The following is a 16,421-nucleotide window of genomic DNA, read 5'->3' on the forward strand; positions in this document are numbered from 1 at the left end:
CAGGAGGCTAAGGCAGGAGAATGGCATGAACCTGGGAGGTGGAGCTTGAGGTGAGCCGAGATCGCACCACTGCACTCCAGCCTGGGCGACAGAGCAAGACTCCGTCTCAAAAACAAACAAACAAACAAACAAACAAACAAAACAAAACAAAACAAAACATAACAAAAAAGAACAGCAGCCTAAAAGCCTGGGTACATGGAACTCCATCCCACATGATCCGCCTGCCTTGGTCTCCCAAAGTGCTGGGATTACAGGTGTGAGCCCCCACACCCAGCCTTGGTGATGATTTTTTGGATTTGACACCAAAAGCACAGAGAACAAAAGCAAAAATAAGTGGAATTGCAACAGACTAAAGAGCTTCTGCCAAGCAAAGGAAGCAATCAAGGAAATTAAAAGGCAACGTATGGATGGAGAGAAAATATTTGTAAGCCATATATCTGATAAGGGGTTGAGATCTCTAAAATATATAAAGAGCTCATATAACTCAACAGCAACATAACAAATAGCTCAATTTAAAAATGGGCGAATGATCTTAATAGGCATTCCTCAAAAGAAGACACACGAATGGCTAACAGGTGTGTGAAAACATGCCCAACGTCATTAATCATCAGGGAAATGCAAATTAAAACCACAGCGAGATATGACTGTGGTGATAATTTTAGCATATAGGTGTATCAAAGCATCACATTTCCTTCCTTCTTTCTTTCTTTCTTTCTTTCTTTCTTTCTTTCTTTCTTTCTTTCTTTCTTTCTTTCTTTCTTTCTTTCTTTCTTTTTCTTTCCTTTTTTTGAGACGGAGTCTCGCTCTGTTGCCCAGGCTGGAGTGCAGTGGCACGATCTCGGCTCGCTGCAACCTCTGCCTCCTGGGTTCACGCCATTCTCCTGCCTCAGCCTCCCAAGCAGCTAGGACTACATGCGCCCGCCACCACACCCGGCTAATTTTTCGTATTTTTAGTAAAGACAGGGTTTCACCATGTTAGCCAGGATGGTCTCGATCTCCTGACCTCGTGATCCACCCGCCTCGGCCTCCCAAAGTGCTGGGATTACAGGCGTGAGCCACTATGCCCGGCAAAGCATCACATTCTCACCTTAAATATACACAGCTTTTATTTGCCAGTGATGCCTAAATAAAACTGGATAAAATATGGGAAATAATAAGATTTGGCAGAATGAGAAACAACAGAAATTCTCACATTTGGCTGGTGGAGATAATTTCTTTCTTTCTCTTTCTTTCTTTCTTTCTTTCTTTCTTTCTTTCTTTCTTTCTTTCTTTCTCTTTCTTTCTTTCTTTCTTTCTTTTCTTTCTTTCTTTTTTTGTGGAGACAGGATCTTGCTCTGTTGCCCAGGTGGAGATATTTTTTTTTTCTGTGGAGACAGGGTCTTGCTCTGTTGCCCAGGCTAGAGTGGAGTGGCACCATCATAGCTCACTGCAGCCTCGAACTCCCAGGCTCAAGCCATCCTCCCTCCTCAGCCTCCTGAGCAGCTAGGACTACAAGCCCATGCCACCATGCCAGGCTATTTTTTTTTGTAATTTTTCATAGAGATGAGGTTTTGCCATGTTGCCCAGGCTGGTCTTGAACTCCTGGCCTCAAGTGATCTGCCTGCCTCGGCCTCCCAAAGTATTGGAATTACAGGCGTGAGCCATCGCATCCAGCCATGATTTTCTTAATAAGAGTTTCTTTCCTCTAGCTTACTTTATTGTAAGAATACAGTGTATAATACATGTAACATACAAAGTATGTGATAATCCACAGCTTATGTTATCAGCAAGTCTTCTGGTTAACAGTCTGCTGAGTTAGGCTTTGGGGGAGTCAAAAGTTATATGTGGCCGTTTGACTGCTCAGGGGTTGGTGCACCTAAGACCCCACATTGTTCAAACGTCAACTGTCTATGGAAGAAAACGTTTACGAAACATCTCACTTTGACTGTTGTATGAAGAATGGCCTGTAGGGGGAGCCAGTGGATACAGGGAGACCGAGTAGGAGGCTTTTTGCAGACAAGAGACTTAAAGTGTTAGACTCTGATAGATTAAATATGTAAATTAAAATTTCTAAAAGTATAGGAATAAAATGTATAATTTCTGAACTCAGAAGAAAAACGGGAATAAGACAAAAATCCGAAACAAGGCAAGGAAGGAGAGAAACAGAAATACGGAAGAGGCAAATAATTCCTCCAAAAAATTCAAAATGTATGAAGAATTGCAATTAATGCAGATGGTCCAAATCTGTGCTACTCAATACCATGCTATTCCATGTCAATAGCCATATGTTACTATATGGCACTTGGAATGTGGATCTGAACTGAAATGTCCTGTTGTGGCCAGGCGCGGCGGCTCACGCCTGTCATCCCAGCATTTTGAGGGGCCGAGGCAGGTGGACTACTTGAGGTCTGGAGTTTGAGACCAGCCTGGCCAACATAGTGAAACGCGGTCTCTACTAAAAATACAAAAATTAGCCAGGGTATGTAGGGACCAGCCCCACAGGGTCGGTGGGTTTTTCTCCCTGTGTGTGTGAGGAGATGAGAGATCGTAGAAATAAAGACACAAGACAAAGAGATAAAAGAAGACAGCTGGGCCCGGGGAACCACTGCCACCAAGACGCAGAGACCGGTAGTGGCCCCGAATGCCAGGCTGCACTGTTATTTATTGGATACAAGACAAGGAGGCAGGGTAAGAAGCGTGAGCCATCTCCAATGATAGGTAAGGTCACATGAGTCACGTGTCCACTGGACAGGGGGCCCTTCCCTGTTTGGCAGCCGAGGCGGAGAGAGAGAGAGAGGAGACAGCTTACGCCATTATTTCTGCATATCATATCAGAGACTTTTAGTACTTTCACTAATTTTGCTACTGCTATCTAGAAGGCAGAGCCAGGTGTACAGTATGGAACATGAAAGCGGACCAGGAGTGTGACTGCTGAAGCACAGCATCACAGGGAGACAGTTAGGCCTCCGGATAACTGCGGGCGAGCCTGACTAATGTCAGGTCCTCCACAAGAGGTGGAGGAGCAGAGTCTTCTCTAAACTCCTGGCCTCGAGTCTGCTAAGTAGCCCGTGTTTTCCCTTGGCACTGACGCTACCGCTAGACCACGGGCCACTTGGCAACGGGCGTCTTCCCAGATGCTGGCGTTACCCCTAGACCAAGGAGCCCTCTAGTGGCCCTGTCCGGGCGTGACAGAGGGCTCGCACTCTTATCTACTGGTCACTTCTCACCATGTCCCTTCAGCTCCTATCTCTGTATGGCCTGGTTTTTCCTAGGTTATGATTGTAGAGCAAGGATTATTATAATATTGGAATAAAGAGTAATTGCTACAAACTAATAATTAATGATATTCATATATAATCATATCCATGATCTATGTCTAGTATAAGTATTCTTATTTTATGTATTTTCTTTATTATACTGGAACAGCTCGTGCCCTCGGTCTCTTGCCTCGGCACCTGTGTGGCTTGCTGCCCACAGGGTGTGGTGGCGGGCACCTGTAATACCAGCTACTTGGGAGGCTGAGGCAGGAGAATCTCTTGAACCTGGGAGGTGGAGGTTGCAGTGAGCTGAGATCGAGTCACTGCACTCCAGCCTGGATGACAGAGGGAGACTCCATCTCAAACAAACATACAAACAAACAACAACAACAAACAAACAAAGAAACACATTAAGAAATGCTTAGTGGCCCGGCATGGTGGCTCATGACTGTAATCCCAGCACTTTGGGAGGCTGAGGCAGGTGGATCACTTGAGGTCAGGAGTTTGAGACAAGCCTGACCAACATGGTGAAACCCCGTCTCTACTAAAAATATGAAATTAGCCTGGCGTGGTGGCAGGTGCCTGTAATCCCAGCTACTCGGGAGGCTGAGGCAGGAGAATCGCTTGAACCCAGGAGGCGGAGTTTGCAGTGAGCCGAGATGGCACCATTGCACTCCATCCTGGGCAACAGAGCAAGACTTCATCTCAAAAAAAAAAAAAAAAAAAAAAAAAAAGAAACACTTAAGGATCTGGTAGGAATGTAAATTGTGCAGCTGCTATGGAAAACAGTATGGCACTTCCTCCAAACATTAGAATAGAATTACTATGATCCAGCAATTCTACTTCTATGTACATACCCAACAGAATTGAGAGCAGGGATGAGAACAGATATTGTTACGTCTGTGGCCATAGGAGTAGTATTCACAGTAACCAAGATACAGAAGCAACCCCAGTGTCTACTGATGGATGAATGCATAAACAAAATGTGGTATATCCATATAATGGAATATTATTCCGCCCTGAAGAAGAATGAAGTTTTAATATATCCTACAACATGGATGAAACTTGAAGACATTATTCTAAATGAAATGAGCCAGCTGCAAAAGGGCAAATACTGTTATGATTCCACTTATATGAGGAAATGATGGAGCAAATTTATAGAGACAGAAAGGAGAAAGGTGGGTGTCAGGGGCTGGGGAGGAGGGAATGGCGAGTGAGTGTGAGTGTTTAATGAGCACAGAGTTTCAGTTTTGCAAGATGAAAAACTTTCTGGAGATGGACGGTGGTAATGGTTGCACAACAATGTGAATATACTTCATATCAGTGAAGAGTACACTTAAAATTGTTAAAATGGTAAATTTTTGTATTTTTAGAAGAGACGGGGTTTCGCCATGTTGGCCAGGCTGGTCTCGAACTTCTGACCTCAGGCGATCCACCCACATTGGCCTCCCAAAGTGCTGGGATTACAGGTAAATTTTATGTTATACATGTTACCATAATTAAAAATAGATGCATTTTTAAATGCTTAGGGAATATTTCCAAAGCTTGGCCTTATACTGAGTGATAAATCACATCGCTATCAAAGGAATTGATATCATATACTCTCTCTAAGTTACTCATGGAGGATCAGAGGAGGAATAAAAATGTAATTAGGACAGTATCTAGTTTCTTAATTTATTTTTATTTTTAATTTTTATTTTTTTGAGAGAGTCTCGCTATGTGGCCCAGGCTGGAGTGCAATGGTGTGATCTCGGCTCACTGCAGCCTCCACCTCCCGGGTTTAAGTAATTCTCCTGCCTCAGCCTCCTGAGTAGCTGGGATTACAGGCACGCACCACCATGCCTGAATAGTTTTTGTATTTTTAGTAGAGACAGGGATTCTCCATTTTGGCCAGGCTGGTCTCGAACTCCTGACCTCAGGTGACTCCCCTGCCTTGGCCTCTCAAAGTGCTGGGATTACAGGCGTGAGCCACCGCATCCAGCTTGGAATCTTAATTTAAATGAAGCAGAGCCTTTCAGACTCTTTAAATAGGCAAAAAATGTGCCTGTGTTTATCATCGAATTCAGTGGTTCTCAACTGGGGTGATTCTGTCCTTCCAGGAAACATTTGGCAACATCTGGAGACATTTTTGGTTGTTACAACTGGGGGTGATCCTGGCATGGAGGCAGGATCCTGAGACACTCCTCAGCACCTTGCAGTGCCCAGATGGCTCCACCCAAGAGGACAATCTGGCTCCAAATATCCACAGAGCTGAGGCTTAGAAATCAAAACTGACAAGTATTTGCAGTTTTTTATTTTATTTTTTGAGACAGAGTCTCGCTCTGTCGCCCAGGCTGGAGAGCAATGGTGCGATCTCTGCTCACCACAGCCTCCGCCTCCCGGGTTCAAGTGATTCTCCTGCCTCAGCCTCCCGAGTAGCTAGGATTACAGGCGCCCGCCACCATGCCCGGCTCATTTTGTATTTTTAGTAGAGATGGTGTTTCCCCATGTTGGTCAGGCTGGTCTCGAACTCCTGACCTCAGGTGATCTGCCTGCCTCAGCCTTCCAAAGTGCTGGGATTACAGGCTTGAGCCACAGCGCCCTGCTGCCTTTTCTTAGAAACAGAGATTTTAGTTTCAATGGTGTTTCCAGGGCAACAAATAAAGAAAATCAAGCAGAATTATAGAGATTTCAGAGACTGACAGTTACTTTACCAGAACACACCATCTGACTGTGAAGTTCAGGTGTATAGAATATACAAATCTTCTTCTATAAAAGAATATTTGCAAGTCTAGTTTCATGGTGCAGAATAATTGTTTTTTTCAGCTGTAGGGGAAGGAGAAACATGTTTTTTCCCCTCTGCTGGAAGGAAAAATATGCTGCCTCCCTTTCTCCCTCCCTTCCTCCCTCCTTCCCTCTCCTTTCCTTCCGTCCCTCCCTCCCTCCCTCTCTCCCTCCCTCCCTCTCTCTCATTCCTTCCTTCCTTCCCTCCTTCCTTCCTTCAACTTTTTTTTTTTTTTTTTTGAGATGGAACCTTGCTCTGTCGCCCAGGCTGGAGGGCAGTGGCGCGATCTCGGCTCACTGCAAGCTCCGCCTCCCGGGTTCACGCCATTCTCCTGCCTCAGCCTCCCGAGTAGCTGGGACTACAGGCGCCCGCCACCACGCCCAGCTAATTTTTTGTACTTTTAGTGGAGACGGGGTTTCACCGTGTTAGCCAGGATGGTCTCGATCTCCTGACCTCGTGATCCGCCCATCTCGGCCTCCCAAAGTGGTGGGATTACAGGTGTGAGCCACCGTGCCCGGCCTTACTTTTTAAAATTTAAATTTATTGGCCGGGCGCAATGGCTCATGCCTGTAATCTCAGCACTTTGGGAGGCCGAGATGGGGTGATCACAGGGTCAGGAGTTCAAGACCAGCCTGGCCAACATAGTGAAACCCCGTTTCTACTAAAAAATACAAAAAATAAGCCAGGCGTGGTGGTGGGCATCTGTAATCCCAGCTACTCAGGAGGCTGAGGCAGGAGAATCACTTGAACCCGGGAGGCAGAGGTTGCAGTGAGCCGAGATTATGCCATTGCACTCCAACCCTGGGGAATAGTGTGAGACTCTGTCTCAAAAAAAAAAAATTAAATTAATTAATTAATTTATTTTTTGAGACAGAGTCTCAGTATGTCACCCAGGCTGGAGTGCAGTGGTGCAATCTTGGTTCACTGCAACCTCTGCCTCCCGGATTCAAGCAATTTTCTGCCTCAGTCTATGGAGTAGCTGGGATTACAGACGCCCTCCACCACCCGACTAATTTTTGTATTTTTAGTAGAGATAGGGTTTCACCATGTTGGCCAGGTTGGTCTCGAACTCCTGACTCCAAGTGATCCACCTCCCTCGGCCTCCCAAATTGCTGGGATTACAGGTGTGAGCCACCGTACCTGGCTTTAAAAATAATTTTAAATTAAATTTTATTTATTTTTTGAGACAAGGTCTTTCTTTGTTGCCCAGGCTGGAGTGCAGTGGTGCGATCACAGCTCACTTCAGTCTCAACTTCCCCAGGCTCAGGTGATCCTCCCACCTCAGCCTCCCGAGTAGCCGGTACCACAGGCAGGTGCCACCATGCCTGGCTAATTTTTTAGTTTTATTTTTTGTAGAGACAAGGTCTCGTTATGTTGCCCAGGCTGCTCTTGAACTCCTGAGCTCAAGCAATTCACCCGCCTCTGCCTCCCAAAGTGCTGGGATTACAGGCAGGTGCCACCATGCCTAGCTAGTGGCCATTATTTATTGAGCATCTAGTTTGTGCCAAGAACTGCTAAACTAAGCACATGTGGGTCGGGTGTGGTCGCTCATGCCTGTAATCCCAGCACTTTGGGAGGCCGAGGCGGACGGATCACCTGAGGTCAGGAGTTCGAGACCAGCCTGACCAACATGGAGAAACCCCATCTCTACTAAAAATACAAAAAATTAGCCGGGTGTGGTGGTACATGCCTGTAATCCCAGCTACTCCGGAGGCTGAGGCAGGAGAATCACTTGAACCCGAGAGGCAGAGGTTGCGGTGAGCCGAGGTTGTGCCATTGCACTCCAGCCTGGGCAACAAGAGCAAAATTCCATCTCAAAAAAACAACAACAACAAAAACAAAAAAACAAACAAAAAAACCCTAAGCACTTGTGCTGTTTTAACGATACCCAGATAGTAGGGGGAAATATGAGTTATGACATAGTGGGGATGCTTTTATCACTTTTTACAGGTGAGGAAACTGAGGCACAGCAAGGTTAAGTCAGCCACTTAAGGTCACCCAACCAGTAACTGACAGAGTGGAGATCTGGATCAGAAGGAAGAATGGAAAAAAAAATCTTAAATTATTTTAAAATCACTATCCTTCCATGCAGGATCTCTTTGAATCTTCCCAGTGACTTAGTGAGGAATGAGCTATTTTTTTTCTGTATTGTACAGCTGGGGAAACTGAGGCTTAGTGAGGTGAAGGGACTTGACCAGAGTGATACAGGAGCCCCTAAACTGTGGCAATTCAGTTCTCAGGGCCAAGTTTTGGTAAGAGTGTCCTGAAGTGGGGTGAGGGCAGCGTAAAGAGGAACATGGAGAAGAAAGCGTGGGAGGGCCGGGCGCGGTGGCTCTCGCCTGTAATCCCAGCACTTTGGGAGGCCGAGGCAGGCGGATCACTTGAGGAAAGGAGTTCGAGACCAGCCTGCCCAACATGACAAAACCCCATCTCTGCCAAAAATACAAAAATTAGCTAGACGTGGTGCTGGGCACCTGTAATCCCAGCTACTCGGGAGGCTGAGGCAGGAGAATCACTTGAACCTGGGAGGCGGAGATTGCAATGAGTCAAGGTTGCACCACCACACTCCAGCCTGGGCAACAGAAACCCTATCTAAAAAAAAAAAAAAAAAAAAAAAAAAAGCAAACAGCTGGGCACAGTGGCTCAAGCCTGTAATCCCAGTACTTTGGGAGGCCAAGGCAGGAGGGTCTCCTGAGGTCGGGAGTTCGAGACCAGCCTGACCAACACTGAGAAACCCTGTCTCTACTAAAAATACAAAATGAGCCCGGTGTGGTGGCACATGCCTGTAATCCTAGCTACTCGGGAGGCTGAGGCAGGAGAATCACTTGAACCTGGGAGACAGAGGTTGCAGTGAGCCAAGATTGCACCACTGTGCTCCAGCCTGGGCGACACAGAGAAACTCTTATCTTAAAAAAAATAATAAATAAACAAACAACAACAACAACAAAGAAAAGATGGGAGATGAAGGGAAGCAGGTGCAAAGGGCTGGATTTGAAATCCTGAGATGATAAAGGTCAACACCCAAAGGCTCAAAACCCTTCTCCAAACCCTCATCTGAGCTCACCCAGCACCTGTGACGGGGGCCCACCTGCATAGAAAGACACTCAATTGGATGTTCATCACTGCATTGCGTATAACACTGTGAAGCAGGCTACGTGTCCATCAGTAGGAGAGCAGATAATAAAATGGGGTCTATGCATAGGCTGATACCAGCCCATATATCCACCCAGAAGATATAGGTGAGTGGGTTAGGGCAAGGGCTCTGAAACCAGAAGGATCTACCACTTCCTAGCTGAAGAACCTTGCACTGGTGACCTCACTCCCTCGTGCCTCCGTTAGCTCATCTGTAGTTAGGGGACAATCATAGTATCAACATCGCAGGGGTTAAGATGATCTGGGTTAAGCACTGAGCATGTGGAAATGACTCAGTAGATGAGGTGTCAGCAAACTTTTCCTGTGGATAAGACCAATGGAGACCTCTAAAATCACTTTCCTTGTCACCTCTCACTGACCAAGACAGTAAATCAATGCAAGGTTGGGCCAGGCACGGTGGCTCATGCCTGTAATCCCAGCACCTTGGGAGGCCAAGGCAGGTGGATCACCTGAGGCCAGGAGCTCGAGACCAGCCTGGCCAACATGGTGAAACCCCGACTCTACTAAAAATACAAAAATTAGCCGGGCGTGGCGGCACGTGCCTGTGGACCCAGCTACTAGGGAGGCTGAGGCAGGTGGGTCACTTGAACCTGGAAGCCGGAGGTTGCAGTGAGCCAAGACTGTGCCACTGCACTCCAGCCTGGGCTGCAGAGTGAGACTCTGTCTCAAAAAAAGCAAAAGCAAAAGCACAAACACAAACAAAAACAAAAACAAATGCAAGGTTGCATCACAGTGGAATAGCAGAGATTAATGTCGCCCTTAAGGGCCTAAAGACATGGTGAGCAAGGTCTCAGATCCCTCAGGGATGAGGATCTAGGTGACCCCACCAGGTGAGCCACCTACACCAACAGAAGGGCCACCTGAAGATGAAGGGACTCTAGAAGGGACAGTGGGAGAGGGAGAGGGTGAACACTCACGGGGGCTGCTAGACTCCACTCCTGCAGTGTAAACTGTGGCTCATCCCACCAACCTTCATTTTCTGGCTGGCATAGAGACCAAGAATCCTAAGTAGCTGTCCTCAAATGCAGTGAGTCTCCTTATAAAACAAATGAATCTGGGCCGGGCGCCATGGCTCACTCCTGTAATCCCAGCACTTTGGGAGGCTCAGTTGGGCGAATCACCTGAGGCCAGGAGTTGGAGACCAGCTTGGCCAACATAGTGAAACCCCATCTCTACTAAAAATACAAAACTTAGCTGGACGTGATGGGGGGCACCTGTAACCCCAGCTACTCGGGTGGCTGAGACAGGAGAATCGCTTGAACCCAGGAGGCAGAGGTTGCAGTGAGCCGAGATCGTGACACTGCACTCCAGCCAAAAACAAACAAACAAACAAACAAACAAACACACACACACACACAAACCCCAAATGAATCTGAGTGGCTTAAGGGGCGGGCTATAGCGGATGCTGTGGTGTGCTACCCAATCCCCACCGTTCTCCTATTGCTATTGTAACAAATTACCACACACTTAATGGCTTAAAACAACACAGATTGGTTGGGTACAGTGGCTCACATTTGCAGTCCCAGCACTTTGGGAGGCCGAGGTGGGAGTGTAGTGAGAAGCCAGGAGTTTGAGACCATCCTGGGCAGCATAGTGATACCCCATGTCTACAAAAAAAAAAAAAAATTAGCCAGGCATGGTGGTGCATGCCTGTAGCCCCAGCATTTTGAGAAGCCAAGGTGGGAGGATCGCTTGAGCCAGGAGTTCAAGACCGGCCAGGGCAACATAGCGTGACTCTGACTCTACAAAAAATTAAAAAGTTAGTCGGGTGCCATGGCATGGGCCTGTATTCCCAGCAACTTGGGAGGCTGAGGCAGGAGGATCATTTGAGCCCAAGAGTTTGAGGCTGCAGTGAGCTATGATCGCACCACTGCACTCCAGCCTGGCTGACAGCTGGTCTCTTAACAAAAACAACAACACAAGTCTATTATCTTAAAGTTCTGGAGCCCAGACTCCAAAATCAGTTTCACCAGGCTTCTCCCTGTGATTTTTCAATCCAGGGTTAAATGCACTCCAGGCTGCTGGAGTGCAGTCATATGATCGTAGCTCACTGCAGCCTTGAACCCCTGGGCTCAAGCAATCCTTCTGCCTCAGACTCTCAAAGTGCTGGGATTACAGGCATGAGCCACCACGCCCTGCCCTCCCTGTGTCTTTATAAGATGGTCCCTTTTTCTGTATCCCTGTCCTAATCTCCTTTTCTTATACAGACCCTAATCTTATTGAATTGGAGCTCATCTTAAGGGCCTCATTTTAAGTTAATTACCTTTTCGAAGATTCAATCTTCAAATACAGTCAAATTCTGAGGTGGTGGGGGCGAGGACTTCAGTGTGTAAATTTCGGGGGAACATAGTGAGGCCCGTACCATGGAGGAAAGTTCCTACACCCTGCTTTTTAGGTAGAGATCTAGAAACATGGAAAGTTCCCCAGAGGAGTTTTAGAGGAACCTAAAGATAGAGAAGGCTTGGACTCTGCTCACCACAACAGAGACCAGAGAAGCGGCAGGTCTCCAAAAAAGGAAGTGACTTAATAGTGGCTTTGGGCATCTGAAGCCACAGAAAGCCTCAAAAAGTTTCCTGTGCCTCAACTCAGCTGAAAATCGGCCTCACGAGCAAGGTATAGGAGTAGTAGAGAAAGTGCTGCCTTTCTTTCTTTCTTTTTTTTTTTTGAGACAGAGTCCCACTCTGTCACCCAGGCTGGAGTGCAGTGGTGCGATCTCTGCTCACTGCAAGCTCCGCCTCTTGGGTTCAAGCGATTCTCCTGCCTCAGCCTCCCCAGTAGCTGGGACTACAGGTGTGCACAACCACGCCCAGCTAATTTTTGTATTTTTAGTAGAGGCGGGGGTTTCACCGTGTTAGCCAGGATGGTCTTGAACTCTTGATCTTGTGATCCACCCACCTCGGCCTCTCAAAGTGATGGGATTACAGGCGTGAGCCACCACGCTCAGCCAAGGCGCTGCCTTTCTAAGGAACAAGGACAAGAAAGAAGGTCTCATAGGCCAGGAGCAGACGGATGGTGGGGACCTTATGGACATGCATTTTGAGAATTAGTCTTTTCTTCACCCTTAATGCCTCCGCAATTCCAAAGCTCCCTGGAACTTTGACAGTCTTGGGAAAGCAGGATGTAGGGAGAGATGGTTTCCGAGGGACTGTTGGCAGGTTCTCAGCATTCTGGTACAAAGGGGTCTTGAAATATAAATAACGTTACGTTAATGAAAAAATAAAGTTAACTTTGCACTCCTTGTGGATTGAGATTTAATTTTTTTTTTTTTTTTTTTTTGAGACAGGGTCTCGCTTTGTCACCCAGGCTGGAGTGCAGTGGCATGATCTCGGCTCACTGCAACCTCCACTTCCCAGGCTCACTGGATCCTCCCGCCTCAGCTCCCTTAGTAGCCGGGACCACGGGCATGTGGCACCACGCCCAGCTAATTTTTGTAGAGATGGGATTTTGGCACGTTGGCCAGGCTGGTCTCGAACTCCTGATCTCAGGTGATCCACCTGCCTCGACCTCCCAAAGGCTGGGATTACAGGCGTGAGCCTCCATGCCCCGCCTGGATTGAGATTTATATAAACTGCTTTTGTGCCTTAGTTTGAGTTCCCATAAAAGCAGACCCTGGGAAAAAGATGTGGGGGCAAGAGGTTTATTAGCTAGCTATTGCTGTGTAAGAAATGAAATTATCAAGAACCTGGCAGCTTAAAACAACACATCTTTATCTTTTTTTTTTTTTTTTTTTTTTTTTTTGAGACAGAGTCTCGCTCTGTCGCCCAGGCTGGAGTGCAGTGGTGCAATCTTGGCTCACTGCAAGCTTCGCCTCCCGAGTTCACGCCATTCTCCTGCCTCAGCCTCCCGAGTACCTGGGACTACAGGCACCCGCCACCGCACCCGGCTAATTTTTTGTATTTTTAGTAGAGATGGGGTTTCACCATGTTAGTCAGGATGGTCTCGATCTCCTGACCTTGTGATCCGCCCGCCTCGGCCTCCCAAAATGCTGGGATTACAGGCATGAGCCACTGCGCCTGGCCCACATCTTTATCATTATCTCAGTGTCCTCAGTCAGAAGTCCAGGTACAGATTCACGTCTGTAATCCCAGCACTTTGGGAGGCTGAGGCAGGCGAGTCACCTGAGGTCGGGAGTTTGAGACCAGCCTGGCCAACATGGTGAAACCCTGCCTCTACTAAAAATACAAAAATTAGTTGGGCGTGGTGGCAGGTGCCTGTAATCCCAGGTACTGGGAGGCTGAGGCGGGAGAATGGCTTGAACCTGGGAGGTGGAGGTTGCAGTCAGCCAAGATCGCGCCATTGCACTCCAGCCTGGACGACAAGAGTGAAACTCCGTCTAAAAAAAAAAAAAAGTTCAGGTAGACGGACAGTTTAATTGAGCATTGTGCTGTGGGTCTCAAGACTACAGTTCATATGTCGACTGCACTACATTCTTTCCCGGAGTTTGCAGTCCTTTTCCAAGCTCAGCTGGTTGTTGGCAGAATTCGGTTCCTTGTGGTGGTAAGATTGAGGCCCTCGGCTTTTAGAGGCTTCTTGCCGTTCTGTGCCATATGACCCTTTCCATAGGCAGTTCACAGCTGGCAATGTGCTTCTTCAAGGCCATCAGGGAACCTCTCATTCCAGTCTGATAGTCCTATATAATGTAACCTAATCAAGGGAGTGATAGCCCATCACCTTTGCCATCTTTTAAATTTTTATTTTTATTTTTTTAAATTGAGACAGCATCTCGTTCTGTTGCCCAGACTAGAGTGCAGTGGTGTGATCATAGCTCACTGCAGCCTCAAACTTCTGGACTCAAGCAGTCCTTCCACCTCAGCCTCCTGAGTAGCTGGGACTACAGGCATGTGCTACCACGCCTGGCTAATTTTTAAAATTTTTTGTAGGCCGGGTGCAGTGGCTCACACCTATTATCCTAGCACTTTGGGAGGCCGAGGCAGACGGATCACCTGAGGTTAGGAGTTTGAGACCAGCCTGGCCAACATGGCAAAACCCCATCTCTACTAAAACTATAAAAATTAGCTGGGCGTGGTGGCACATGCCTGTAATCCCAGCTACTCAGGAGGTCCAAGCAGGAGAATTGTTTAAGCCTGGGAGGTGGAAGTTTCAGTGAGCCGAAATCACGCCACTGCACTCCAGCCTGGGCAACAGAGTGAGAGTCTGTCTCAAATAAAATAAAATAAAATAAAATAAAATAAAATAAAATAAAATAAAATAAAATAAATTTTTTTGTAGAGCCAAGGTCTTGCTATGTTGCCCAGGCCAGTCTTGAACTCCTGAACTCAAGCGATCCTCCTGCTTCAGCTTCCTGAGTAGCTGGGACTACAGGCGTGTGCCACCACACCTGGCTAAGTTTTTAAATTTTTTGCAGAGCCAGGGTCTTGCCATGTTGCCCAGGCTGGTCTTGAACTCCTGAACTCAAGTGATCCTTCTGCCTCAGCTTCCTGAGTAGCTGGGATTACAGGCATGCGCCACCATGCCTAGCTAACTTAAAAAAAAATTTTTGTAGAGATGCGATCTCACTATGTTGCTCAGGCTGGTTTCCAATTCCTGGGCTCAAGCAGTCCTCCCGCGTTGGCCTCCCAAAGTGCTAGGATTACCGGTGCAAGCCACCACACACCTGGCCATCTTTGTCATCTTCTATTGGTTAGAAGCAAGTCAGGTTCTGCTGGAACTCAAGGAGAGGGGATTATACAAAGGCTTGGATGCCAGGAGGTAGGAATTTTTGGGAAATCACCCCAGGGTCTGTACACCACAAAGGCATCCCCAGGAAATGTGAGAAGAGGTATGGGTAGGAACTAATACAGGGTGTATTAGTGCACAGGTGTCTGCTATGGGCTATCCCATTGGGGACTTTGGGGTGACTGTGTAGACTATGCCTTGGAGTTGTCCCACCCTGGGGACAGGGAAGCCGGGTATTTATCCACTAAATCCCATCCATCATTGGTTAAATGCTGCTCCTTGTGGTGTTAATGATGGAAACTCTCTATTGCCTATAACTGACACCACAATTCTTTACACTGGCATTTACAATTTCCCCTTGCCCTGCCTCATTTTCCTCTGTGACCCCTGCCATGGTCACCCTCCACTGCAGCCTTAGACTAGCGATGGCCCTGAATTTCCTCCCTGTTCACTGAGATCTTCCTGATCCTCATCCAGCCTTCCATGGCCTCAGACCACTGAGCTCTCTCCCGTTGCAGAAATCCTGCAGAACATTTTTCCTGGACCCCTTACTGGGTGTAGGGGACCCCAGAATAACTCATGTCCAGGCTCCTTTTTTTGAGGATCCTCTGGGATGGGTGGAGGAGTCACAGCTGGACAAGATGCTTTTAGTTCTATGTGGTCAGGGCTGGAAGAATGGAGCCCCAGGGATGGAGCCCAGGAATGGAGGAGATGGGATGTGGGTGAGATTCAGAAAAAGCTTTATGGAGGAAGGCTGAGCTTATCTTTTTGTCTCCTTACCCCAAAACCTCCCTCCCAACTTTGATGCTGGAGCCTGCTGTTCCTTCTCTGATCAGAATCCTCTCTCTTCATGTCTCACCCCTGTCCTAACAGGGGTGCTATGAATCCACTCTTCTGGCCCCCACCATTAGATCACTGATGTGATCTAACCACATCAGTCTCCTGCTGAAAGACCTCCAATGTTTGAGATATATATATATATATATATATGAAACTTAATGGTTCCATTTCTCTGGAGAATCCTGACTAATACAGATTTTGGTACCAAGAGTTGTTCTAAACTGGGTGTGATGGCTCATGCTGGAAATCTCAGCATTCTGGGAGGCTGAGGCAGGAGGATCGCTTGAGGCCAGGAGTTCAAACCAGCCTAGGCAACACAGTGAGACCTCATCTCCAAAAAAATTTTTTTAATTAGCCAGGTGTGGCTGGGTGCGGTGGCTCATGTCTGTAATCACAGCACTTTGGGAGGCCGAGGTGGGCGGATGAAGAGGTCAAGAGATCGAGACCATCCTGGCCAACATCATGAAACCCCATCTCTACTAAAAATACAAAAATTAGCTGGGCATGGTGGCACGTGCCTGTAGTCCCAGCTACTCGGGAGGCTGAGAAGGGAGAATCACTTGAACCTAGGAGGTGGAGGTTGCAGTGAGCCGAGATAATGCCACTGCACTCCAACCTGGCAACAGAGCAAGACTCCATCTCACAAAAAAAAAAAAAAAAAAAAAAAAAAAAAAAATTAGCCAGGTGTGGAAGCGTGTACCTGTAGTTCTAGCTGTTTGGAAGGCTGAGATGGGAGAATCCCTTAAGCCAAA

General features: G+C 47.3%; 2 annotated features.

Moving 5' to 3' along the window:
• Nucleotides 889-1,390: an enhancer, noted in NCBI's record as "H3K27ac hESC enhancer chr19:6631163-6631664 (GRCh37/hg19 assembly coordinates)". NCBI's record gives its function as "activates a minimal SCP1, AML or CMV promoter by ChIP-STARR-seq in naive H9 embryonic stem cells {active_cell/tissue: H9 hESC(naive)}" and the evidence as "EXISTENCE:reporter gene assay evidence [ECO:0000049][PMID:30033119]".
• Nucleotides 9,410-9,459: an enhancer, noted in NCBI's record as "active region_13853". NCBI's record gives its function as "activates an Ori minimal core promoter by ATAC-STARR-seq in GM12878 lymphoblastoid cells {active_cell/tissue: GM12878}" and the evidence as "EXISTENCE:reporter gene assay evidence [ECO:0000049][PMID:35858748]".

This window comes from Homo sapiens, chromosome 19 (assembly GCF_000001405.40).
Source record: "Homo sapiens chromosome 19, GRCh38.p14 Primary Assembly".
NCBI lineage: Eukaryota > Metazoa > Chordata > Mammalia > Primates > Hominidae > Homo > Homo sapiens.